Genomic DNA, 24,867 nt, shown 5'->3' on the forward strand with positions numbered 1-24,867 from the left:
TTTTGATTTCTAACTGGCCATTCCCCGATGCCAAATGTACTTCTGAACATGTCCTGCCATCATCAACTAGCATGTATTTAGTGCATACAAATTTATTTTTAATACCAATCTGGCAATAAAGGGTGAACTTTACTATCTGACTCCTCCTGGCCTCTTAAATCACAGAAAGATACAGAAATTAGTTTTTTGTTGTATGGCTGGGGTGCAGTGGTGCAATCATAGCTCACCATAGCCTCAAATTCTGGGCTCAGGCCTCCCAAGTAGCTAGGATTACAGGCATGAGACATGATGCCTAGCTAATGATTTTTTTATTTTTGTAGAGATGGAGTCTTGCTATATTGCCCGGGCTGGTCTCAAACTCCTGAGCTCAAGTGATCCTTCTGCCTTGGCCTCCTAAAGTGTTGGAATTACAGGCATGAGCCAGTGTGCCAGGCCTAGAAATGAATTTTGTTCATCTGTAACACTTTTCCCCCTTACTTGACATAGACCCTGAAATTTATTAATCTACTTAATTCAATCAGTTGATTCCACTGGCATTTGTGCCATATTTTTTAATACCGAGACCTATGATGTACCAAGTACTATGCTAAGCGCAGAGTAAACAAGAGGAACATTTCTTTGTTTTTGTTTTGTTTTGTTTTGTTTTGTTTTGTTTTGTTTTGTTTTGTTTGAGACAGGGTCTTGCCATGTCACCCAGGCTGGAGTGTTGTGGCATGATCTTGGCTAACTGCAACCTCTGTGTCCCAGGTTCAAGTGATTCTCCAACCTCAGCCTCCTGAGTAGCTGGGATTACAGGCATGTGCTACCATACCCATCTAATTTTTGTGTTTTTATTAGAGACAGGGTTTCACCATGTTGGCCAGGCTGGTCTCAAACTCCTGACCTCAAGTGATCAGCCCACCTCGGCCCCCCAAAGTGCTGGGATTACAGGTGGGAGCCACTGTTCCTGGCCCATTTATTTGCTTTCGATAGGATGAGGCAACTCTCCTTTATCAGCAGGTTTGGCTACATTAAAAGACGTTATTGTAGAGAACATAATGAAAGAAGCCTGCCTCCTAGAGAAACAGAAGAGCACGTCGTGTTAGTTATCTATTGCTATTTAACAAATCACTCCAAAACTTAGCAGCTTAAAACAATAAACATGTATTATTTCACACAGCTTCTAGACTCAAGGAGGAATCAGCTCAGCTTGATGGTTCTGGCTCAGGGAGCCTCTCAAGGCTGTAGGTGAGACGGAAGTCATCTGAAGGTGACCGGGGCTGGAGGGTCTACGTCCAGGTGGCCACCCACACACCTGGAAGGGCAGCCCTGGCTGCTGGCAGGTGGCCTCCTTCCTCCCCTGGTGGCGCTCTCTCACGGGGATGTTAGAGTGGCCTCAGGACATGGTAGCTGGCTTCCCCTAGAGAGAGTGATCCAGGAGAAAGCTAGCATGAGCCACAATGGCTTTTATGACCCAGTCTTTGGAATTCACATTCTGCTACTTCTGCAATTTCCTATTGGTCACACAGGCCAAGTCCACTCAGTATGGGAGGGGGTTACAAAGAATGTGGATGCCAGGAGGCGAGGATCGTCAGGGGCCATACAGGGGGTTGGCCAGCACACATAATTGGACAGCAAGGCTGAGCGTGGTGGCTCATGCCTATAATCCTAGCACTTTGGGAAGCTGAGGCAAGCAGATCGCTGGTGCTCAGGAGTTTGAGAACAGCCCGGTCAACATGGCAAAACACTGTCGCTACAAAAAATATAAAAATCAGCCGTGCTTGGTGGCACATGCCTGTGGTCCCAGCTACTCTGGGAGGCTGAAGTGAGAGGATCGCTTGAGCTCAGGGATTCCTGGTTGCAGTGAGCTATGATTGTACCACTGCACTCCAGCCTGGGCGACAGAGCAAGATCCTGTCTCTTAAAACAAAAATTAAATTAATTAATAATTATAACAGAGAATGAACCTCAGTTACATTGACAAATGTTACTCTATAAGACACCATTGCAAGGCTCCTGATTTTGCACTAGGCAGATAACTGTGGCTTCCATTGCACTGCCTGAGGCGGGTCCTTGAGGGAGTGCCTCCTGGGTATTTGCTAGTGCTGAGTGCCCACAGCCTCTGCCCCCAAGTAAATGCAGCTCCCTTTAGCCCCTTGAGCACAGGTGATCTCTCCCTGCTGCCCTTTGAGAGGCTGACTACTGATGAAGCCGAAACCCACCTCTCCTCTCCCTGCTCTGTTAGACCTGAAGACACAAAGTGGAAGGAAGGTGAGGAAGGCATCAAAAATCTGCCCATCAGTGAGCTGCTCTGCTTCAAGGCTGCTCTGATGGCACAGGGCTGATGTGACTCCTGGGCCCGCAGCGCTTTGGGAATCAAGCCTGATCTTAGAGGTTGGCGGGTTCTGCTGACACTGTTTAACCTGGTGAATAATAATAAAAACCTGGACCGGTCTGCTCAGAACCACCCAGCTGGGGCCATCCAGGGAGAACACAGGGCAGAGACATGCTGGCCTGAGCTGGAAGGCAGCTGGGACCTTGTAGCCTGTGAGAATGACGTCATCTGACAAGAGAAACCTGCAGAGTGAAGCAGAGCTACTCCACCGGCCTCCACACACTGCAGGACTCAAGGTAGGTGTCAGGACCTCTGCAAGGAGGAAGCAGATCTGTCCCAAGGCACCTTATGCAAACAGCAGAGCTGCCAAGGGTGAGTTGAGATGCAAATACTGAGGACAGAGATAACAGCATTTCCCTGAGCCCTTGGCTCAGCAGGAAGACAGTTCACCTTCCACAGCAGTCGGGAGCTTCTGAGCTGCCTGGAGAAGCCACCCAAGCCCTTCCCAGCCTCCCTGCCTCTGATCACTACCCTACATCTAGAAAGAATGCACAGCAGAGCCAGCGGCCTCTGAGCCCTTCCCTTCTACAGTGGTCTCCACACCCAAGACAGATAACAAATGCAGGCTCAGAACCATCTTACTCTTCCTAGGAGCTGCAAGAGTGTGCCTAGCTCTAATCTAGTTGTTTTGCATAAATTGTTTCAAATCTGGGTTTATATTGTTCCCTGTTTTAGAGCCTTCTTGTCCCAAATATGCATTCTTTGCTTTTTTCAGCACATACTCAGACAGAGAGGCATCTGTACATTTTCCCCTTTAATTGGAAAGGAAGATCTGAGTCCCTAATCCCTATCCACATGGCCACGCCAAGGCATCCTTACCCGACAAAGGGCTTTAGTACACACACACACACACAAACACACACACACGGACATACACATACATACGTATACACATATACTCTACTAAAACAAATGTTAGAGAACGTATATGTAAATAATATTATACATTTCTTAGAGTATTTAGAAAAAGGCAAATACCCTAGAAGAAAAATTGACAGGAAACCTGAAAAAGCAGTTAACAGCAGAGAATATCCAAATGGCCATTCAATACATGAGAATTTCTCAGTGGTCAAGAAAATGCAAGTTAAAACTATAGTGAGTTACCACTACACACCCATCAGAGTAGTTAAAATTGAAAGGACTGATAATACACACAGGGGCAGTGGCTCACGCCTGTAATCCCAGCACTTTGGGAGGCTGAGGCAGGCAGATCACTTCAGGCCAGGAGTTCGAGACCAGCCTGACCACCGTGGTGAAACCCCGTCTCTATTAAAAATGCAAAAATTAGCTGGGTGTGGTGGCGGGCATCTGTAATCGAATCTGGGAGGCAGAGGTTGCAATGAGATGAGATGGTGCCACTGCACTCCAGCCTGGGCGACAGAGTGAGACTCTGTCTCGAAAAAAAAAAAAAAAAAAAAAAGGACTGATAGTACAATGTTCACAAGGCTGTAGAACAACAGGCACTCTCTTGTGTTCCCGGTAGCAGTTGGAAATGGTATAATCACTACAGAAGACTGTCAATATCCATTACAGTTGAACAAATGCACCCCCCATGACTTAGCAACCTTACTGCTAGACACATACCCTACAGAAATGCATGCACATGTCCCCCAAAGGGCACATGTTAGAATTTCATAGCAGCAGCATGATTTGTATAATGAAAAGGATTAAAAACAAGCCAAATGTCCATCACCAGTGAAACGAATAAATTGTGGTATATTCATATAGTAGAATAACCAATAAAAATTAATGAACTACAGTTATACAAAACAACATGGCTAAATCTCAGAACATAACCTTTAAACATAATCTCTCATAAAAGAAAGTAAACACAAGGAATACATGCCATGTGGTCCATTTATACACAATTTACAAAGGGCAAGACTGCTAGTTTTTAGTAATGAAAGTTTAGGTAGTAAAACTATGTTGGTTTTCATAAGAGAAATGATCATGATCACCTTCAGGGCAATGGGAGGGGTGGTGATTGGGACCAGTTGTGAAGACAGAAGCTACTAGGATATTGGCAATGTTCTGTTTTCTTGACCTTGGGTGGTAGATATATAGGAATTTGATCTATGATAATTCATTGACCTGTACATTTTTGTTGTGCATTTTTTTTTGTTTGAGCATATATTCAACAATAAAAACAGTAACTGGCTGGGCGCGTGGCTCACACCTATAATCCTACACTTTGGGAGGCCAAGACGGGAGGATCACTTGAGGCCAGGAGTTTGTGACCAGCCTGGGCAACATACTGAGACCCTACCTCTACGAAAAAAATTTTTAAGTAGCCAGGCATGGTAGTATGCAGCAGTAGTCTCAGCTTCTTGGGAGTCTGAGGTAGGAGGATTGCTTGAGCCTGGGAGTTCAAGTCTGCAGTGAACCATGATTCATGCCACTGCTCTCCAGACTGAACAGCAGAGCAAGACTCTGTCTCAAAAAAAAAAAAAAGGTAGGTGTGGATAGTCACAACGGTAGCAGTTGTGCTTCTTGCTTTCCCTTAGTTACCTTGATCAGTTCAGCCTAAAATTTGAGATGGCAGAAAGTACTATGAATCTGGAATTACATCAAGAAAGTTATTTTCCTTCTTTAAGATTCAGTGATTATATCTTAAAATGTGATACTACCTATTGTAGATGGTGCTTATGAGGATTAAATCAATGAACATGGGAATGTGTTTGGCACATGCTAGATACCCAAAGTTTGTTCCTCTAGTAGTAGCAATAGTTGCTGTTGGTGATGGTGGTGGTGGTGGTCATGATGGTGATGGTGGTGGTGGTGATGGTGGTATTGTTGTTTAACTTAGGACATCAAATAGTGAGGCATTATAGGAAGGAAGACCAGACCTGGAGGCTGTGAGCTGCTGTTCTGGTTATGTATTGCTACATACCATTCACATTATCCTATAACCTAGTGGTTCAAAACAACAATTTGCTTGTACTTACAGCCACAAGAAAGGCAGGGTTCAGCTGAGCAGTTCTTACTGAGGGTCTCTCATGAGGTTGCATTCAGACCTTGACTGAAGCTGCAGTCAGTGAAGGCTCAGCTCAGCTGGGTCTCCAAGAGGCTGGCTCAGGTGCTTGGTGGTTGCTGCTGGCTTTTGGCTGAAAGCTCACTTGGAGCTACTGGCTCTGCCTTTGGTCTGGGCTTCCTCACAACAGGTGATCCCGTCTCTGAAAGTGAGTATCCCAGTGGGCAAAGTAGAAGCTGCATTGTTTTTTATGACATAGCTTTGGAAGTCATCTAGTGTCACTTCTCCATAATTCGTTGGTTAAGGTAGTCACAAACATGCCCAGATTCAGGGATAGGGGCATAGAATTTGCCTCATCTTTTGGTGTTCAGTTTACCATGAACACTAAGATTGTGTGTGAATTCTGGAAACCATTCCTCTGACATTATAAGCAGCCTTGCATAATGGTTAAGAGTTCTGTCTGGGTTCAAATTCTGACTCTGCCACTTATCCTTTGGAAGTTACTTAAAGTTCCTGTGTCTTAGACTCCTCATTGGTAAGCTGAAGTACTACCTTCACGGACTCTTTTGGAAGGAGTATGTGGTCCATGGTGAACAAGCTCAATGAATGTTATCTTTTAGTATTGTTTCCGCCTAGAACGATATTCAACCCCATGGTGTTGGGCTCCGGTCCTGTCACTCCTAACATCATTCTTAGGCACCCCACATGCTTCCTATGGAGATAGCTTCCTTCCCGGAATCTCAGCCATATGGCTGCCTCTGGAAAGGATGGGCCAGGCCGTTACAGTGGGAAGAACCCTCGAATTGCAGCTGGGCAGGCCTGAGTCCAAATCTTGCTTCTGCCTCCTATTTGAGGGACGTGGGATACATTGCCTGTTCTCTGAGAGGTGGTCTCCTTATCTGTAAAGAGGAGGAAAATGAAACCTCCTTGACAAAGGGGCTGAAGAAATTCAGTGAGAAAGTGTTGATGGGATCACTTAGTACAGTGTCCAACACTTCATGGGTATTTGGATTTTTTGTTTATTTTTAGTTTTCAGAAGAAAAAGAATATAAATCTCAGAGATCACCAAAGAAGCATATCTCAGTGGCCGAAATAAACACCTCAGTTAAACCATTCATCTTCTTTGACCAAGTTCAGGGAAGCATAAAATCTTTGCTGAGGTACTTCTGTTAGAGTGGGAAGAGCCCATTTGCTCATTCTTTCATGCAACGGATATTTATTAAATACCTACTGTGCACAAACAAGCAAAAACAAACAAGTGGGGGTCTTCACTGCCTCCTAAAGGGGTCTCCTCCAGCTCAAGAGAAGATACTACCCACACCAGCAGCCCAGAGGAGCATTGCAGTGGACAAAGGCTTGCTCTGGTGAATGTCCAGTGATGGTCTGTGGTTCCCGACATGGCTGAGGTACAAGGACAGCGTAGTGGAGTGTGAGATGAGGTTAAGGGTGCCACTGCAGGAAGTCGAGGCACAGGCCTTTTCTGAATTTATAGAAAACATCAAGGCCAGAGTTGGATGGAGCCCAGTGGTGCAAGGGGAACTGCACCAGGTCTGACCAGCAACCCTAGGGAAGAGAGTCGAGGGAACGTGGATCTAGAAGCAATGATTTCCCTCTCTCAGGGATTTAAAACCCACAAGCAATGAGGCGCTGGAGATCAGGATTGAATGCCACTCTCCCACTGGGGCTTTACAAACTGCCCAGCCCAGCTGACGGCTCCTTCAAACAAGGAGGCAGCTCTGCTCTACAAAGACAAGGTGGTGGTTGAACTCAGGGCCCCTGGAGCAAGGGCTCTCTACCCACAGTCCTCACAACAATGGGATGCTGGGGGCCACAGGGGAGTCCCGGCTCTGGGAAGAGTATTGCTGCTTCCTCTTCCTTGGATTCCAGCCACCAATGAATTTACCATTTCTCCACTCAGAAAATGTGAGGCACCCCAGAGTTTCTAGATAGAACAAAGCGTATGCACCCCCAAGTAAACTTGTGTTTCAGCTTTTTTATAATGACTACATTCAGTCTCCACAGAGGCTATTTCCATAGAGCCCTCAAAATGAAAACTATACAAATGGGCCAAAGCCAAACAAAATGAGAATAGGTTTGTCACATTTTTGACAAACTGCCCAAAAGTTTGTCAATAGCACTCAGTTCTCTGAAGTCACCTCATGACATCTACTCCATCCACCTCTCAGAAGTCACAGCCAGCCGCAAGTTTCTGCCATCGGAAGGGCACACAGGTCTGCACTTCCGTCCGCTAAAAGAAATAGACTTAGGAAAATAATTGAGGGTTCAGGGGAAGAAGAGTTTCCTGAGGGGACAGCCAGGGACAGATTAAACAAATTACATCAGGGTGACAAACACACTTACCTTGATCTATGCATTATATAAATACTGAATGTCTCATTTTATTTTTCTTAACTTAGTTTTCTGTGTCCTACGGATGGTTGCTCATATCATGCTGTCCATCTTTAGACTTGATTCCTCAAAGACAGGTCTTTGTCTCAAATAATAATTTTTATTTAAAAACATGAACAAGGCCAGGTGCAGTGGCTCATGCCTGTAATCCCTGCACTTTGGGAGGCCAAGGCAGGGGGATCGCTTGAGCCTAGGAGTTTGAGAGCAGCCTGGGCAACATAGTGAGATCCTGTCTCTACAAAAAATACAAAAACTAGCCAGGCAGGATGGCACAAGTCTATAGTCCCAACTACTGGGGAAGCTGAGGTGGGAGGATTGCTTGATCCCAGGAGTTCAAGGCTGCAGTGAGCCATGATCGCTCCACTGCACTCCAGTCTGGGTGACAGAGCAAGGTGCTGTCTCAAAGAGAAATTTGGAAACACCCAAGGAAGTGTATCCCCTGCCTAAAAGCGAGAGCCTAAGCATGACGGAACTGCTGCTGGCAACCCTGGGAGAGAGGCAGGAGGGTTCTGATGTAAAATGTTCCTGATAACTAAGAACAAAAAACTGGAAAAAGCAGACTAGCGATAATATTTGTCAGGGGCACATGATTAGATTAAGTGTTAGAAGAAGGAGCCTAAAAATGGTGTAGAGAGAGAACCATAAGCAGACAAAGCCAAGTTACAGCCATTATAAGGAGCACTGGGAGCCCCTGCAAAGCCCCAAACACCTCACATGGGGGCACTGGAGAGTTGGTGGCCGAAGGGTCCAAGACCTCAGTGAGGCAGGAGGAACAAGTGCAGTTAATAATCATGCGCTGTAGCCTTGGAGGTTGCTAAGGGATTTTAAGTGTTCACAACACACAGTGATAAATATATGAGGTAATGTGTATGTTAATTAGCTCAGTTTAGCCATTCCATAATGTATCAAAACATCACAGGCCGGATGTGATGGCTCACGCCTGTAATTCCAACACTTGGGGAGGCCGAGGCAGGTGAATCACTTGAGTTCAGGAGTTCGAGACCAGCCTGGCCAACATGGCAAAACCCCATCTCTACTGAAAAAGCACAAAAATTTGCCGGGCGTGGTGGCACACACCTGTAGTCCCAGCTACTCAGGAGGCAGAGGTTGCAGTGAGCTGAGATTGCACCTCTTCACTCCAGCCTGGGCGACAGAGTGAGACTCTATCTCAAAAACAAAACAGAACAAAAAACCCCATCATGTTGTACATCAAAAACATATGCAATTTTTGTCAATCAAATTAATAATTTTTAAAATAAAGTTAAAAAGAAAAGGGTGTGGAATATTTAAGGAAGAAGCATTCATTCTTAATGGCTAATCTTTAAGAATGCAATAAGCCACCATGCCCAGCTAATTTGTATTTTTAGTAGAGATGGGGTTTCTCCATGTTGGTCAGGCTGGTCTCGAACTCTCAACCTCGGGTGATCCACCCGCCTTGGCGGGATTACAGGCATGAGCCACCACGCCCAGCCTAGTTCATCTTTCAAACATGACTTTCTCTTTAGATGTATGAAAAAAATTTCATAAAGAATGCTATTTTCCCAAGAAGCAGGTGAATGCTTGGACTTGGAACTATAAGAGCACATGCTAGGTGCCCTTAGTGTGTCATTAGACACCCTTGCTGCACTGCTGGACTGGACCGATTCAAAAATAAAACAAAAGGTCTAAACCCAGATGCATCCACTCCTCCCCAACAACATCCAGTCCACCATGGCTTCATTGCCTGGAGCAGGAGCCTGAGGTGGGCGCTGCAGTCTGGCTGCTGCACTGAGTCTCACACCTTCCACGGAGCCCTCACGCCCAGCTCTGCATTTCTCCTTGATCCAGACTGTTCTGTGGGTATTTTTAGCCTGGCTTCTTGGCAGTTTCACAAATGCTTTTCAAGATGCTTATGGCCATGTACTGAGAACTGCATGGTAGAAAATTGGGGAGCTCCCGTGAAATCTGCCCACTATACCTTTGTCCTACAGCCCCCCTCAAGAGGGTCCCCATCTTGCTCTCTGTCCCAGTTTTGCTCTCTGGCATGCCTGCTGCCAGAACCCTAGGCTGGATCTAGCCTAATAACTTTGGCATGAAATGAAAGGGAAGGCTCTTAAAGATATTACTTTTTTGGTCATTAAGCAAAGAGTCAGTTCTCCAATGGACTAACCTCTATTTGACTTTAGGATGCTAAGCACATGGCTTATGAGCTTGGAAGTTGTGATTCTTTAACTTCAACAAGAGAATGCTACACCAGAGGAGGGGGCCGGGCCACAGGGAGGGCAAAGTTGCCCATTTGACACCTATGGAAAAATAAGTAAGCATGGAGATCCCTTTCCTCTCTCTTCACTCAAAAAGTTTAGGAAGTATGGCAGCAAGGCAAATTTAGATGGAAAGAAAACTTTGCTGATGTTGGGATGTCATGTTCTGTCTTAAGGGCTTGAGAGATGCTAGTCATCTCCTACATACTAGGCTTAAAAGCCCTTTCCCTTATGAGATGTTTCGGAAGAAGAGAGATGGCTCAAACACAAGTATACCCAGCAGTGGAGTGGGGTGAGCTAAAGATGAGTTGGAGTAATGGGAAGAGCATAGAGGAAGGAGTGACTCTAAGTAGCAAGCCACTCAGCACTCCTGGACCTCAGTTTCCTCTTCTATTTAATAAGGAGCTGAAGTGAACGTCCTTAGCTTTCAAGCTCTGACATTGTATGATTCTGGAGGTCTTGTCCAGTTTGAGAAGAATGTAATTCCAGATGGCGAATCCCAGGATTTGTAAGGTTACATCACTAGTCACTGCCAGGTCAACTTTCTCAATTACTTGTGGTAGAGTCTTGGACTCCTCTGATGCCACAAAAAAGAATAGATTATGTCCCTGGCAGGATGCAGGCTCACAGACAATCCCTTGCTTGAATTAAATGGAAACTTTTTCACTTGATGAGCATGGAAAGGGTGGGGCTGTGGGGGGAGAGAGAGAGAAGAAAATATAGCAGGAGAACCAAGACTCTTGAGAAAGCTCCACTGTTGGAGGAGACCTCTCCTGTCCAAAGAAGAGAGGAGATTATGTCATAGAAATACATAGCTATCCCTGCATATTTATTCATGCACCTAGACAAATCACAAGGTGAACAGGGAGATGCCAACCCTGTTACGGTCCTCATGCCCAGATCTTCTGTGTCCTTCTTAAACACAAGGCAGGTGATAGGGCGTGTGGACCTGCCTGCTCCCTCACAGTGATGGATGTTGAGTGGCACTGCAGGGAGGCAGGATCTTGTCACAGCCCTTCCCGTTTCAAATATTTGTGCCAACCACCTGTCGGCATTCCCCTCCTATATCCAGAAAACCCACTGCATCTTCTTCCCTCAAATACGGTGGCACTGGTTGAACAGCACAGCCAAGCCAGAAAGCATTGTGGTTGGGTACCAGATGAGTATCTGCACTCACGTATGAAAACTCTCCGCTATTGCTCACATATAAAATGATGTTAGTATCTGTCCCTTCTCATAAGAAGGTAACATGATGGAAGATGTGGACGTTTCTGAGAAGTCTCGAATGCAGACAGTTATGGTCACTGCCCTCTGTCAAGTGCATGGCTGGCATCCTAGACTTCTTTGTCACACAAAAGACATCTCTGCCTCTCGCCACCTGGAACAGACATCTTGCTTCTGTCTGTTTCATTGATTGCTGTCTCATTCTGTTCCTTGCTTAAAAAATCTTTTTCCCTTGCTGATGCCTCTTACTTCTCTCTCTCAACTGTTATTTCGGCAGCTCTGCTATTTAGCTCCATGGTGTCATAGCAAACAGTTGGTGGGAAGGAACTGTGCTAAGTGACATCGCATCAAAATTCAGGACTGGCTTCTTAGTGGGTAGAAGCCCTCTTCAAAGCTCATCACAATTTCATTGCTTTACAGGGATTTCCCTTTGGCGAGACAAAGGAAGGCAGCCTTTAACCCCTCTACTTTCCCACCTCTAGCTACACAACGACCGCTCCCAGGAGGGAGTCCAGTGGATCCTCATTGCCAACATGGCATGGCTGTGACCATCCTGCCTCCTGGGGGAAGGAGATGTGCCAGCAACGGGAGCTCAGGGCAGCCAGTCCCTGCTTTCAAACCCACACAAGCCCGACAGCCCTCTTGCTAGAATATGTGCTTCATGTTTGCAGAGCTGTGCATATTCTTCTGCACACATTTGAACTCAGCAAAAAGAGAACACGACTCTCTTTTGAGACACTGGCGGGTCTGCGGGCTACCCGGCCTGCACAAGGGACAGCCTGGCGAGCAGAGCCAGGGGCCCCATGCCCGGCTCTACCTCTTCCGGGCTGCGTCACTGTGAGCAGTTCCCTTCTCAGCCTGCTGATCCACAACAGAGTTCACAAGCTGTCGGGAAATCATCGCCTTCGTCCGTTCACGAAGCATTATGATGTGGTGGACTGAACATGAGCCTTAAAATCAGGCAGCATGCTAACCCTGGCTCTGTCCCTCCAACTGTGTAACTACCGGCAAGCTGCTTAACCTCCCCAAATTCAGTTTCCCCATCTTAGAACGAAGATCAAATGATAAAAGATATAAGTCTCCCACTTACACATACATATTCTTCTAGGGATGGGAAAGTGGATTTGAAAGAGAAACTATAACCTGTTCCTTGCGAGTCTGTGAGGAGGCTGGCCTGAGACTTTCAGACCCCTCTGTTCCAACAGTTCCCAATTATAACTCCTACGTAGACTCATAGATCCTGCAGCTACGGTTAAAATCAGCAGCAATTACAAAACCAGTCATTTGTTGAAAACTACTGTGTGTCATTCTACTCTTTCCCTTTCAAGCCTGAAAATAGAGATGGGCTATATATTTTTTAATCACTAAAATATAAGACAGCATATGCTAAGTGGCAGATGATGGAATTGCACAAGCAACACGTAGCCCTGGAGTCCAGGAGGAACTGACTATCCCAGACGCCATGGGAGCGTGCTCCATCCATCCCGTCCCCCACCGACTCAAGGCTCCGCTTGACTCTAACCAATTTCCATCTCAGGTAGAAGAGGACAAGCAAAATGCGTTATTAGGAGGATTTTTAAAACTCGAAGATTTCAGCTTTCAGAGGACAAATCAGGTCATCCTCAAGCCTTCCATGAATGAGTTGTTCTTCCCAGCCCCAGTTTAGGCAGCGATGTCAACAAGAGTGTCACGGTGGCCCTACAGGGGAAGGGGCCTGGCTCAGAGCTGTGTTCAGATGGGAATGCCAGCAAACAGAGGAAAAGGCAGAGCTTTTATTTTTCTATGTTTCTCCTTTTTTTTTTTTTTTTTTTTTTTTTTTTTTTTTTTTTTTAGACACAGGGTCTAGCTTTTTTGCCTAGGCTGGAGTGTAGTGGTGCAATCATAGCTCACAGTAACCTGAAACTCCTGGGCTCAAGCAATCCTCCTGCCTCAGCCTCCCGCATAGCTGGGACCGCAGGCATGTGCCACCATGCCCAGCTGGCATAGCTTTGATCTAACTAGCATCTAGCCAGAATCCAAGTCTTAGTACCTCCCTGGGCTTGTAAGGAGAAACTGTCAAGAATTTTTCTCCCCATTTCAAAGATGAGAAAACTAAAGCACGAAGTAGAAAAAGATGTTTACCCAGGTTTCAAAGAAATTTGAGTAGAAACTTGTAGTGAATACTGCCCGTGAAGGCCAAGTAGCTGGGCAGACCCAGGGAATATCTTGGAGGTGCCATCTCCCTCCCAGCCTGCAACCCTTCCCACTGAGGGCGGGCTGAAGCTGGACAAGAGGCAGGTAACTTGAGCCAGGCAACAGCTTGCAGGGAAGGAGAAAGAGGAAGAGACCTCTCCCTGGGGAGCCGGGTACTCTTTTGCTGCTGGGTTTATGTTTTTGGAATAAATCACTTGGTATAATAATAGAAATGGAGGCGCTGGAGTGAAACATCGTGACAAGAAGAGTTCCCACTGGCATTGCAATCGATTTTTTTTTTTGGCCCTGATGTCCTGTTGCTCATTGGTGGGGGGAATCCTGACCCGACCAAGGGGAAGGGGAATGGGCTTTCTTCACCCTCAGCTCACTCCACCTACCAGGATAGGGCAGGTTCCCTCACCACCATCTTGACCAACCCTGAATCTGACTGTCTAGGAGGTCTAAGCATCCATGAACCATATTTACTTTTGTTTGGTTTTCTTGTGTGTTTGGAAGGCAGAGGATAGTTTTGGAGCTGGAAGGGACGTCAGAGGCTATCTTGTCCAATTCTCTCTTTTTCCTCGAGGTTAGGGTCAGTGACTTGCCAACATCATCGAACTGGTTCATGGTGGACCCAGGACCACACCTGCCTTCTGACTGTCGTTGGATCACTCTTTCCACCACAGCATGCTCGCCCCAGAGAGAGGCCAGCTGCCTCAGAGCCCACCATCCATCTGGGGAGATTTCTAACAGATCCAGCACCTGCCCCGTGCTGTCCCCTTGCTCTCCCAGGTGGAAACGGGTGGCCTCCTTCCTGCCCTTCCCTCAACCTTAGCTGCCCACTTCATCCCTCACCACCCTCCAACGCCCACTCAGGCACCACATCCAAGGGCTTCCTGCTCCCCTGCTTGACTTGACCGTCGCTCCATTCCCTACCTAAAGCTCCTGTACTTGGGGCCATTGCAGCTGACATGGGCCCATCAGATTGTAGTGAAGCCACGGATGTACCCGCTTGCACGAGCATTCCTCTGAGGGCAGAACCCCTGCTTTAGGTGACAAGGCCATGGCGTCTGGCATAGTGCCTGGCAGGCAGGTAGGCAGCGATGTTCGTTGGGTGGATACAGAATTGCTCACATTGCAGCAGGTGTCTGGCCTGCTGAGGGATGTCTGCCCCACCCCCGGGAACTAGCAAGGCTTCCAGTTTCTCCTGAGCCTCCCTGTGCTCTCCTCCACCGCGGGGTTAGGAGGGCGCCTCCGATGGGGGTGAGAACAGCTGTGCAGCTCATGGGAAGAAGCCGCAGGTGGAGTGGAGGAGGCCCCTTGGAGGCGGTGACGGTGGGGGAGGGAGGCCACACATTCCAGATCAGTGGTGGGAGTAGTGACGATGATGAGTCCAAGTGTAAGGAAACGCTAAGTCACCAGGAAAATCAGGAGCCACCCTGGATGCAGGAGAAATCAAGGAGACAGAGAGAAAATGACTGGTTTGTCTTCTGCAACTTCCTTCAGAGCTTTGCGACCATCACAAAGGCTGTGGCAGGAAGCAAGGTGGTGCTTCCCCAGGCTTCATGCCCCATGGCGACAGGCCCAACATCCCTCTGTGTGTTCCCCAGGCCAAGGGGCTACACCAGACCCACAATGCGTATGACCCTGGAGCCACGCAGGGGATGCCTAACAAAGGGTTGGGGCAGGATTGGATTCAGTTCCCGGAGCTGTGCAGCCTACTGTCAGCAGAGCTCCCTGCCTGGAGAAGGCACCAGCGACAACAGGAAGAGCTAGGAGTTAGACAGCCTGAGTCTTATTCCTGCTGTTCTACCAACAAGCAAGATCTTTGATGAACCATTTCATCTCATGAGGTGTCCGTTTGCTATTCTGGAATCCCAAAGGTATATCCTAAATCTATGCTTCCACAGTCACCTGCCCCTCAAGCCTCTGGCCGAGTGTGGTTCTGCGCCCCCACAACCAGGGACTGACAGTGCATCGTAAATGCCTTGTACTCACAAGACTCAGCAAAGATCTGGTTGTGCCAGGAATTCAAAGTAGTTGGATTCCAGGAGGACCAAGACCCAAATTTGCAAATGGAGGACGTACAGGGGAAATCCTTGCAGCCAAGAGCACAGATCTTGGGCTCAGCACGTGCTAACCAGTGGGTCCAGGGAGGAAACAGAACGAGGCCAGCAGCCGAGGCCACCTGGATCTTTCCTTCCCCTTTCCTTTCTCCCGCTGCGTGTGTGTTGGGGGTGGTGGGGAAGGGGAATTTTGTGACCAAACCTACTAGTAAGACTCTTCCCTCCCCTTCACTAAGTGGCGGAGGCAGCCGGCTAGTCCCTCCTCTGAAGAGTGATCTTCTCCCTAAGAGAAGCCAACTGGACTCTAAAACATTGTCTTGGCCGGGCGTGGTGGCTCACGCCTGTAATCCCAGCACTTTGGGAGGCCGAGGTGGGCAGATCGCCTGAGGTCAGGAGTTTGAGACCAGCCTGACCAACATGGAGAAACCCCATCTCTACTAAAAATACAAAATTAGCCGGGTGTGGTGGTGCATGCTTATAATCCCAACTACTCAGGAGCCTAAGCCAGGAGAATGGCTTGAACCCGCAAGGCGGAGGTTGCAGTGAGCCGAGATTGCACCATTAAACTCCAGCCTTGGCAACAAGAGCAAAACTCCTCCTCAAAAAAGAAAAATAAATAAAAAACGAAACACTGTCTTCTCCGTTTTCGTTTTGCCCTCCGTATAGCGGCAGCTCAATCTATATGCTGATTTTTGTTGTCCACACATCAAATGGCAAGAGGCTGCAGCCCACAAATGCTAACTGTGCAGGAAGCTTCACAGGACAGAGTTTGTTTATTGTTCTGCAGCTGGTAGAGGCTGAAGGACATTGGAAGAACTGGGCTTCTTGGGGCTGAGATGGGTGCTTATAGGCCTTCAGCCCCTCCCACCAGGGAGGAACATACCTCTAGGGAGATGTGAAAATTGCAGTTTTATTTCTAATGATCTCCAGGGTAAAGGTCTTGGTTACCTGGCTCCCCACTCTGAGAGTTAAACCATCCTGATTGTCAGAGTTCCTGCTGCTAATGGAATGTTCCAGATGTATCTGCAGGGGAGAATTTTGACAGGCCTGAATCCCAGACCTGCTGCAGGATGCTCCTGAGAAAAATAACCTTTGCATTTCCCAATTTCACCACAAACACTGGAGAACGGGTAGGAAGTGCTGCATAAATTGTTTGCACCTGGTGAATAGGCCAGCTTGCGGCAAGAGTCCCTGGAAGGGTCATGTGGTTAGGCACGGTACCAGGCAGGAGAAAACAAACAAGAACACGAGAATGGAGAGGGAGCATCTCTGGGTGAGGTTGGCAGAATCCCAATCTCTGTGTGGGCCACCCCAGCTGTGGGTCCTCACAGGAGCTGGGGAACCTGGGAGCTGTGCTCTGTCTGGGAGCGCGCTGCGGCTCTGGCTCAGCGTCCTTGAGGATAAAGAAGGAACATGCCTAACTTTGCCCATTTGCATTTCATATCCATCATCTCGATTTTGCATTCTGGCAACTGTGCAAAATCTAATCCTCACTCTTCTTACTGGTCAAGTGTTCTTACTTCTCCTTTGAGGTACACAAAAGTTGAAAAAGAATTAGAACTTCTTTTAAGGCACATGCATGGTGTTGGGTTGGATGAACCCATCCAAGATCTAGCCCCAACCCCATGACACAGTCCACCCCCCCCTCCCTCAGATTGACCACACAAAAGCAGCTGGACCGGAGCATCTTTACTATTCCAGACTCAGCTCCCCTAAAAGTCCACTGCGTCCTGACTTCTGCTAAGATCCTGCACTCAAAACAAAGTACTGCCACCAAGGTCTCCTCAAAAGCCATTGGGCGTTTTCAAGGTATGTGTACCTGGGCACCTTCCCCCAAGGTGTAAGGTCAGTTACCAATAGGAAAACAGCCTCTTTAATTAAATATTTACTGTGTATATTGTGTACAATTTTAGACTACCTGTATGTGTGTGTGTGTGTGTGTGTGTGTGTGTGTGTGTGTGTGTGTGTGTGTATAGGTAAAATAATATTTGGTGATTTGCATCTTCATTTCACCCATCTTACTGTCCCTGGTGACAGCTGTGCGTGACTCACGCTGGCTCTTCTGACCCAGGTCTTCTTGCTTATCTTTGGAATATAGAAGAGAGGTGAAAAATGTGAATGCAGCCTCTTTTAAAACACATGCTCAGTGTGGCCTCTCCCAGGATGAGGCGTTGGTTGCTCCCATCCCAGGTCTAGTCCCGGCTCTGCTAACATTTCACAAACACTATCTCTTTGAGTCCCCATGAAGTAGGTAGTTTTGTCCTCATTGTACAGACTTGGAGAGGTTGAGCCGCTTGCCAGAGCTGGGGAGTGCCTACTTGGGGCTGAAATCTAGGTCCCCTTAACTAGAAAGCCTTAGCTTAGTATCTTGCAGTGGAGGAGCTCCTGACCCCCACTTCTGATGGGGTGCATCGGAAGTGCTTTGAGTGGGGCTGGGCGCAGTTACTCACACCTGTAATCTCAGCACTTTGGGACGCCGAGGCAGGGGGGTCCCTGAGGTCAGGGGTTCGAGACCAGCCTGGCCAACATGGCAAAATCCCGTCTCTACTAAAAATACAAAAATTAGCTGGGCGTGGTGGTGCACGCCTCTAGTCCTAGCTACTCAGGAGGCTAAGGCATGAGAATTGCTTGAACCTGGGAGGCAGAAGTTGCAGTGAACCGAGATTGCACCACTGCACTCCAGCCTGGGCTACAGAGCGAGTCTTCGTCTCAAAAAAATAAATAAATAAAATAAGTGCTTCGCGTGTCCAGGGCCCCGACTCCGAGGGAAGACCCTCAACCTCTTCACATTACCACTGGACCATTAAAGGGTTAAAACATCTTTGATCTGGAGCCTCAGCTGCTCATCCTTCTGTTTTAAGGGCCTCTGAATCATTAGCCTTTCCAAGCAGCCTCCCTCTGCCGCCTGAGGCAGGTGAAGTGGGAGAGGGGAGCGGCCCGCCTGGGTCCTGAGTCAGCGCTGACTCCCCACGCTGTCCTCCACAGATTAATCACCTCCAATTACAGCTTCTGACTGGGCACGAGTCATTCCCAGCGGCGCCTCCTCGGGCCGACCCTCGCCCCCCTGCAAACAGGCTGCCTATCCGTCCAACATGCTTGCTGTACTTCCCAGAGCCCCAAAAAGGTACCCCGGCAGCAAATGACTCAAGGATGAGGACCCACCCTCTTCCCCCTCACCATCTGCTCTCAGCAACATGAGTCTTCTGGGGGCAAAAAGAAAAGAGGACATGAAACTCCTCCCTTCCAGCAGCCTACAGAGGCCTGTGCACCCTTCCATTAGCAGGTTGGATAATTCTTCGTGGTGTTTCTCCTCAGCAGTGACTAATAAAGCTTGTTCTCATTTCCACTAATCACACATCCTCATAGAGAAGGGTGACACACACTTGGCGTGGCTCTGTGACACCCCTTGGAAAGTGTTCCATGGCCCACCCAGCCTCTTTTCCTCGAGCCCCGCTCTGGCCTCCCTCACACCTGCCTCCCTTCTGCCCCTGCCAATGAAGCCGGGGCCCAGCTGCCTCGGTGGAATTCCTAAGCATCCTGCTCTTGGCTGCTGACCCGGGCACATGGGCACCCAAGGGCATTATGCCATCTCCCTCCTCAGCGGGTATCACACTGGGCTCCCTGCCCTGAGCTGCCAGCCAAGGGAAGGGCACACAGCCCCGTGGGGCACGAGCCGGGCCTCAGTGCCAGGGTACTGAGTGCATTGCTGTAGTATATGGCACAGTTTACCAAGAACTTTCCCGATTCTTGGGGCACGAGCCGGGCCTCAGTGCCAGGGCACTGAGTGCATTGCTGTAGTATATGGCACAGTTTACCAAGAACTTTCCCGACGTTGTTTCATTTGATCTTTACGTAATCAATAGTGCTCACTATACAATCATCCTCTATAGAACATGGTGTTCCCTAGAGGTAAGAAAGCTGAGGCCTGAAACATGCACGTAGCCCACCCACACTCAATTAGTAAGTGGCAATGCGTGACTATTATGCCATAACCCAGCTCTGGCATTAGGGTCAGAAGCCCTCCCCCACAAAAGTCCTCTCTGTATGAGCTTTAGAATTAGGCAGACTCATGGCTGAATGCTATTCTAATTCCACTTTTTATCTAGTGGTAGATACTGTCCTATGCACTTCGCAAACCGTTTCAACTCATTTAACTCCCACCACTGTCCTCTGCGGCGGGAGTTATCAGGATCCTTAATTTGCAGCTTTGAGAGTAGAGGCCGGGGTCCCCTAGCTCATAAGGGCTGCAGCTCTCATCTGACTCTGGCCCAGGGCCGGACTCTTCACCACTCCTCTAAGCTACCTGGGGCTTCTCCAACTTCTAACGGCACGAACTTGGACAAGTCACGGAAGTTTTCTTATCATTCCAATACTCTCATCTTTTCAATGGCAGGGGTGAGACCACCCTCCCCACAGTGCTGTGTGGGGGTTAGATGGGATCGTGAGAACAGAGTATATAAAACACTGAGCTCTGGCCCAGCATGGAGGGAGCACAAGCTAATAGCACACTCGGCCCCCAGGACAAAGCTGCAAGAGGACAGGGGCTGCGAAGGATGGACCGTGTTAGGAGGAAGATTCCCCGTCCCCTAGTCCTAGAGGTCCACAGCAAGGCAGATGCTAGATCCTGGGGACTCTTGGTTGGGGCAGGCACAGGGAAGCACGCCACCTGCCCCACTCCCCGCCCTGTGTCGTATTCATTCCTCTTTGTAAGCATATCTCTCAAATCAACCTGGCCAACCAGTCCCTGAGATCATTCTGATTCTAAAAAGCAAAATGTCTCTAATTAAGGTTCTTACCTATTGGGGACCTTAGTCATCTTTGAAAAATCTGATAAAAACTATAAACCATTGTTTCAGAAAAATTCACATATACCCAGGGACACAGGCATGCTCTTACAAGTTGAGGTGATCACCAGATCACAAAGGGGTCCGTTGGAGCCTAAGTTTATGAGCCTCTTTTCTGTATAATTAGGAAACATCCTTATAATCTTATCACTAGTATCATGGGGAAAATTGCCAAGTCTTTCCTTTCCTTTTCCTCTCCAACTTCATACCTAGGCTCTGCCCTCCCACACACTCCTACACCAGCCCCCGATCCTGGCTTCCCTCACACTGCCCCGGGCCAGGGCCGAAGCTGCAGCGGTGGTGGCAACAGCATCAGCTGTTGCTAAGGAAGCTGAGAATGCAGGGTGGGGGCCGGAGAGTGGGCAGCAACCCAGCAGGGCAGCACCCCCCATGCATGTCTGAGCACCTTGGGCCCTGGAAACGGTGTTCCCAGCTGGCTGCCATGGCAACAGCAGGCTTCGGAGCCATTCATCTCGGTCTGGACAGCTTCCCCTACTCGCACTAGCGCTTTGTCTCCCTAAGTGGCTAACTGAGGTGTGAAAGGGTCTGTGGTGAGTGGACAAAGGAGCACAAAGGGCAAAAGGTGGGTCATGCGCCCCACACTGGGCAGGCACCCTGGGGGGTCTGAGAGGCCAGGGAGGGGGTCTGGGCCAGCTCCCTAACAGAGGGCCTGGCTGCTGGAGAAGCAGCTCAGAACACAGAGATGGCCATGCCTCTCCCAAAGACCTCTGCCTGTGAGCCTCAGCTACTTGCCCAAGAGCCATCCTAGAAAGGAGAAGTACTGGTTACATCCCAGGTAAGCCAGCAGCCAGGTGACACTTGGTCACTTCTAGATGTGGTAACTAACTGGATTTTTCCTCAGGCTGATAGGGTGCGTAAAAAGGTGAGAGACTGGGCACGAATGGGAGGGTTCCTAAGGGTGAGAGATTGGGAGGGAATGACTCCTGGGCCTAATTTAAACAAAGCTAAAAGACAGATGAAGTCAGAGGTGAATGAAGCAGTTAAGGTCTTGCCTTCAGCTCAAGACCACCCATCTGGTTGTAGGTACTGTTTAGCACTATTGCCATCTGAAAGGACTGTCCTTGGAAGCACTGTCCGTGGGACCATTTATTGAGTGGAGATTAAACATTGTACCTATCTCAACGTCATCTTCAAAGTGAGATTAAGTACCTGAGTGAAGTATTGTCCTCTTTTCACAGATGAGGAAATGGAGGCTTCAAGGTCAAACCCCTTGCCCAGAGACATGCAGCAGAAAGTGATGAAGCTGAGATTTGAACTTGCACCTGTCTGCCTGCAAATCCCATCTCTTCCTGCTGTGCCAGAGACAGCAGAAGGGCCCACGGCTGTGTAGATGTGGCCTATTAGCCTCTCAAGTCTAGAGCAAGCCCCTCAGTGTGGGGCCCCTCCCTAGCCGCACTTCCTGCCACACCTGTCCTTCAAGCAGCCGCCTTTCTTTAGAACCCCACGTCTACTGTGGTGATCACTCTGCATAGCTGCTTTAGAAACATATGAAGATAACAGAAGGATCTCATCTGCAACCCAGAGCTCTCTGTGCCTGGTGGTGACTCCCAAGAAGCTCCCATAAGGAAGAGGTCCCTCAAAGAACACACTGAACACAGTGGACCCTCTGCTGCCAAAACAGGCAGGGAAGCATCTCCTGGAGCCTGCTTGGTCAGCTCTGCTCTCAGAAGCTTGGAGGGCAAACGGGGGTGACTGGACCCAGCTGGAATAATGGAAAGAATGGGAACTAGCACTTAGAAGCACCTACTGTGTTCCAGAAATTCTGGTGCATTTATCTGTGTAGCCTTCAAAATAGCTCTGTTGGGTTGATAGTATTTTTGCCCCATGTTATGGTATAAGAAACTGAGTTCAGAGAGGTTAGGTAACTTGAATCAGGCCATAAAGCACTTAAGCCCAAACTTAACTGGCTCCAACATCTCCATCATTTCTATTCTATCCTCCGACCTCCCCGACACTGTCTGCTCCTTAGGGTCTGTGAAAGTCAGGAATCCCCAACTCAGTCTCTTAGCTGGCTGTCCAAGTAGTCCACCTTCCTCCTCAGGGCTCCCTCACCCACACAGCAGATGGGCATCTTTCATCCTGCAGCTAATTTTATTTCTCTTTTCCCATTCTTCTCACCCTCTTGGCTCAGTCCAAGCAGGAGAGCAGGAGTCAGAGCCAGAAGCCAGAACAAGGCTCTCAGCCCATCTCTTTCTCCAAGGGGCAGGCAGGAAAGGAGACAGTGGGATTCCCATCAATGCTGAGTGCCAAGGAGGGGTCATCAGGAAAGCCTGCAGATGGGGTCTCGGTCCCAGGCCTGGCCCCATTGCAGGGTGAACCCTCTCCAAACTTTCCTCTCTGATCTCCAATTCCCCAGGAGAAGCTCTGACATCCACAGCCCTTGCCAGGATCATGGGGAAGGTGGGGTTGGGGAAGCACACACCCCAAGAGGCTATTATCATTCTGTGGGATGGGCTCTCTGTCTCCGTCTGACTTTTCCTCTCCAGGCCAGAAGTAGACCTCAGGCTCAGCCTGGTTTGGGTGCTATGTCCCTCTTTGAGACCAATTCTTGGGAGGTAGTTTGCAGTCATTGGAAGGGCTCAGGATTAGGAGTCAGAAGACTTATGTTCTGTTCCCATTTCTGCCACCAAAAAGCAAGGTGGGTTGGAATAAGACAGTTTGCCTTTTTGGGCCTCAGTTTCCTCTTCTGTAGTAATTGGGCCAACTAGTCCACTCAGATTCTCTAAATTGCTTCTCTGAGCTCTGGAACTTCCTTATATGTATTCCATACCTCCCTGCCCCTACTGACATGCCTTCCAACCCCAACAGCCCAATGTTTCTATCCTATCCAGACCCTGCCAAAATAGAAAGAGTACAAGGCAGTTGGTTTGTTGGTGTTATGACTTCTTTTCTTTTCAGGCAAGAAGTCAGATTTAAATTGTGCCTCAATCAGCACCGAAGCTGGAATGCTCAAGTCTCCTACACAATGGCTTACATAAAAACAGCTCACCTCTCATTTCTCTCTCTCTTTGTTCTGCTCTTTTCCAATCACTCGGTCAAGTAATATCTATTAAGTGGATATGTCTGCAAGGCACTGCGCAGAAATGTAATCCAAAATGACAAGGTCCTTGTCCAAGAGGAACTTAACAATTCCACAAGGATCCAGCACAGATGGGAGCTTTAAAGACAGCCCACTGCCCTCATGCAGGGGGGGAAGATAAAGGATTTTTTTAATGCCTTTTAATGTTTTAAAGTTTCTTTTACCTACTTCAGTTGTTAATTTTATAGTGACATCATGTTTTTGGTGTCTGTCTTTGAGTGTTAAGCCTGTCTTCTGTCTCCTCATCCAGGGAGGAAGTCAAGCTGCTCCAGACATCAGCACTCCACTTCACAAACTCACCACCCATGCTCTCTCCTGTGGGGACCTCAGCTTTGCACCTGGATGTGCCAACCTGGCTCCTGCATTTCCATACCCCAACACAAGAGTCTCAATGCAAGGGTTGTAACATGCCAGCAGTGTCTGTACAAGCAAACGATGGCACTCGTAGCATATGGAGGGCGTGGGGCAGTGGAGCTGTGCCTTCCCCTCTCCTGAGGCCCCTGGGCTTCGAGCAGTCTTCACGCTCCTGAGTTCTTTCTCAGAATTCCCTCCTAAACCTCTTAGCGAGTAAATGCTGCTTGCCATATCCTCTCTTCCTTTAGTCTTGACGCCTAAATACTCCACATCTGCTCCATAAATAATAACTTCTCTAGAGCTCTTTATAATTTACGAAGGGCTTGCACCTGTAGTTTCTCATTTAATCTTCTCAACCATCCTGCGGGACAGGGTTATTATTGCTCCTTCTTTACAGATAAGAACCTGAAGCTCAGGGAGATTTAGTGAGGGGCCCAAAGCCTCACAGCTGGACCCAGCTGAACTAAGCTGGACTTAACCGAGCTCTTTCGGCTTCTATATGAAATTAGAGGGAGAAACTGCTTCTCCCCACTGAGTTCTCTCCTCCCCTAACGTGTCACATCCCCTGCACCTGGTGTTCTGGGAAGCTCACATCTCAAGCTCTCTCCTGGACTCCTTATACTGCACAGAGCCCAGAGCTCCAGACACAACAAGAGGGGGTTCCACAGAAGAAGGGGAATAAAAGAGATAAAAGAGAGCCAAGGGCACCTGCTGCTCACTCCCGACCTGGGGACCAGGCAAAGTGGCCCAGGCCAACGTTAGAGTCCTCTGTGGTGGGGTCAAGGGTTTAAAACACATAGTGTGGTTTCAAGGGTTTCTTAGGGTTGATTTTTTTTTTCCTAGACAAATACAAAGAAAAATGAAGAAAAAATTAGGACAATGTCCCAGGAGCCTCAAGTAAAAACTAGGAAGCAGCTGGTGGTGGAGGAAAAGCCACGCCAGGGAGATAGAAATGGAGTCTCCAGGCCGGCTGAGGCGTGTGTTTAATGGAGGCCGGCTGTGCAGGTAGAGGACGGAAGTGTCGGGAGCCCTCCCTGCAGAAGAGGTGTGTCGACCCCACAGCTGCCAACGTGTCCCAGAATGAGGCCCCTCGTGAGTCTGCAAGGGCTGGAA

The 24,867-nt window shown here is 48.4% G+C and overlaps 1 long non-coding RNA gene across 4 annotated transcripts, besides 4 other annotated features; it reads left to right on the plus strand.

Moving 5' to 3' along the window:
- Window positions 1–2,031: 2,031 nt before the first annotated feature.
- Window positions 2,032–22,219, plus strand: LINC02730 (long intergenic non-protein coding RNA 2730). Of its 4 annotated transcripts, none has more exons than NR_186708.1 (2): window positions 2,032–2,610; window positions 21,500–22,219. It is a non-coding gene; the product is annotated as a long intergenic non-protein coding RNA 2730 (long non-coding RNA). The 4 variants fall into 4 exon arrangements; NR_186706.1 differs by lacking the exon at window positions 2,032–2,610 and adding an exon at window positions 20,799–20,883; NR_186709.1 differs by lacking the exon at window positions 2,032–2,610 and adding an exon at window positions 20,900–21,183.
- Window positions 14,639–15,142: an enhancer, noted in NCBI's record as "H3K4me1 hESC enhancer chr11:133890717-133891220 (GRCh37/hg19 assembly coordinates)". NCBI's record gives its function as "activates a minimal SCP1, AML or CMV promoter by ChIP-STARR-seq in naive H9 embryonic stem cells {active_cell/tissue: H9 hESC(naive)}" and the evidence as "EXISTENCE:reporter gene assay evidence [ECO:0000049][PMID:30033119]".
- Window positions 17,953–18,755: an enhancer, noted in NCBI's record as "H3K4me1 hESC enhancer chr11:133894031-133894833 (GRCh37/hg19 assembly coordinates)". NCBI's record gives its function as "activates a minimal SCP1, AML or CMV promoter by ChIP-STARR-seq in primed H9 embryonic stem cells {active_cell/tissue: H9 hESC(primed)}" and the evidence as "EXISTENCE:reporter gene assay evidence [ECO:0000049][PMID:30033119]".
- Window positions 20,189–20,760: an enhancer, noted in NCBI's record as "NANOG-H3K4me1 hESC enhancer chr11:133896267-133896838 (GRCh37/hg19 assembly coordinates)". NCBI's record gives its function as "activates a minimal SCP1, AML or CMV promoter by ChIP-STARR-seq in naive and primed H9 embryonic stem cells {active_cell/tissue: H9 hESC(naive and primed)}" and the evidence as "EXISTENCE:reporter gene assay evidence [ECO:0000049][PMID:30033119]".
- Window positions 20,761–21,331: an enhancer, noted in NCBI's record as "NANOG-H3K4me1 hESC enhancer chr11:133896839-133897409 (GRCh37/hg19 assembly coordinates)". NCBI's record gives its function as "activates a minimal SCP1, AML or CMV promoter by ChIP-STARR-seq in naive and primed H9 embryonic stem cells {active_cell/tissue: H9 hESC(naive and primed)}" and the evidence as "EXISTENCE:reporter gene assay evidence [ECO:0000049][PMID:30033119]".

This window comes from Homo sapiens, chromosome 11, assembly GCF_000001405.40.
Source record: "Homo sapiens chromosome 11, GRCh38.p14 Primary Assembly".
Classification (NCBI taxonomy): Eukaryota; Metazoa; Chordata; class Mammalia; order Primates; family Hominidae; genus Homo; species Homo sapiens.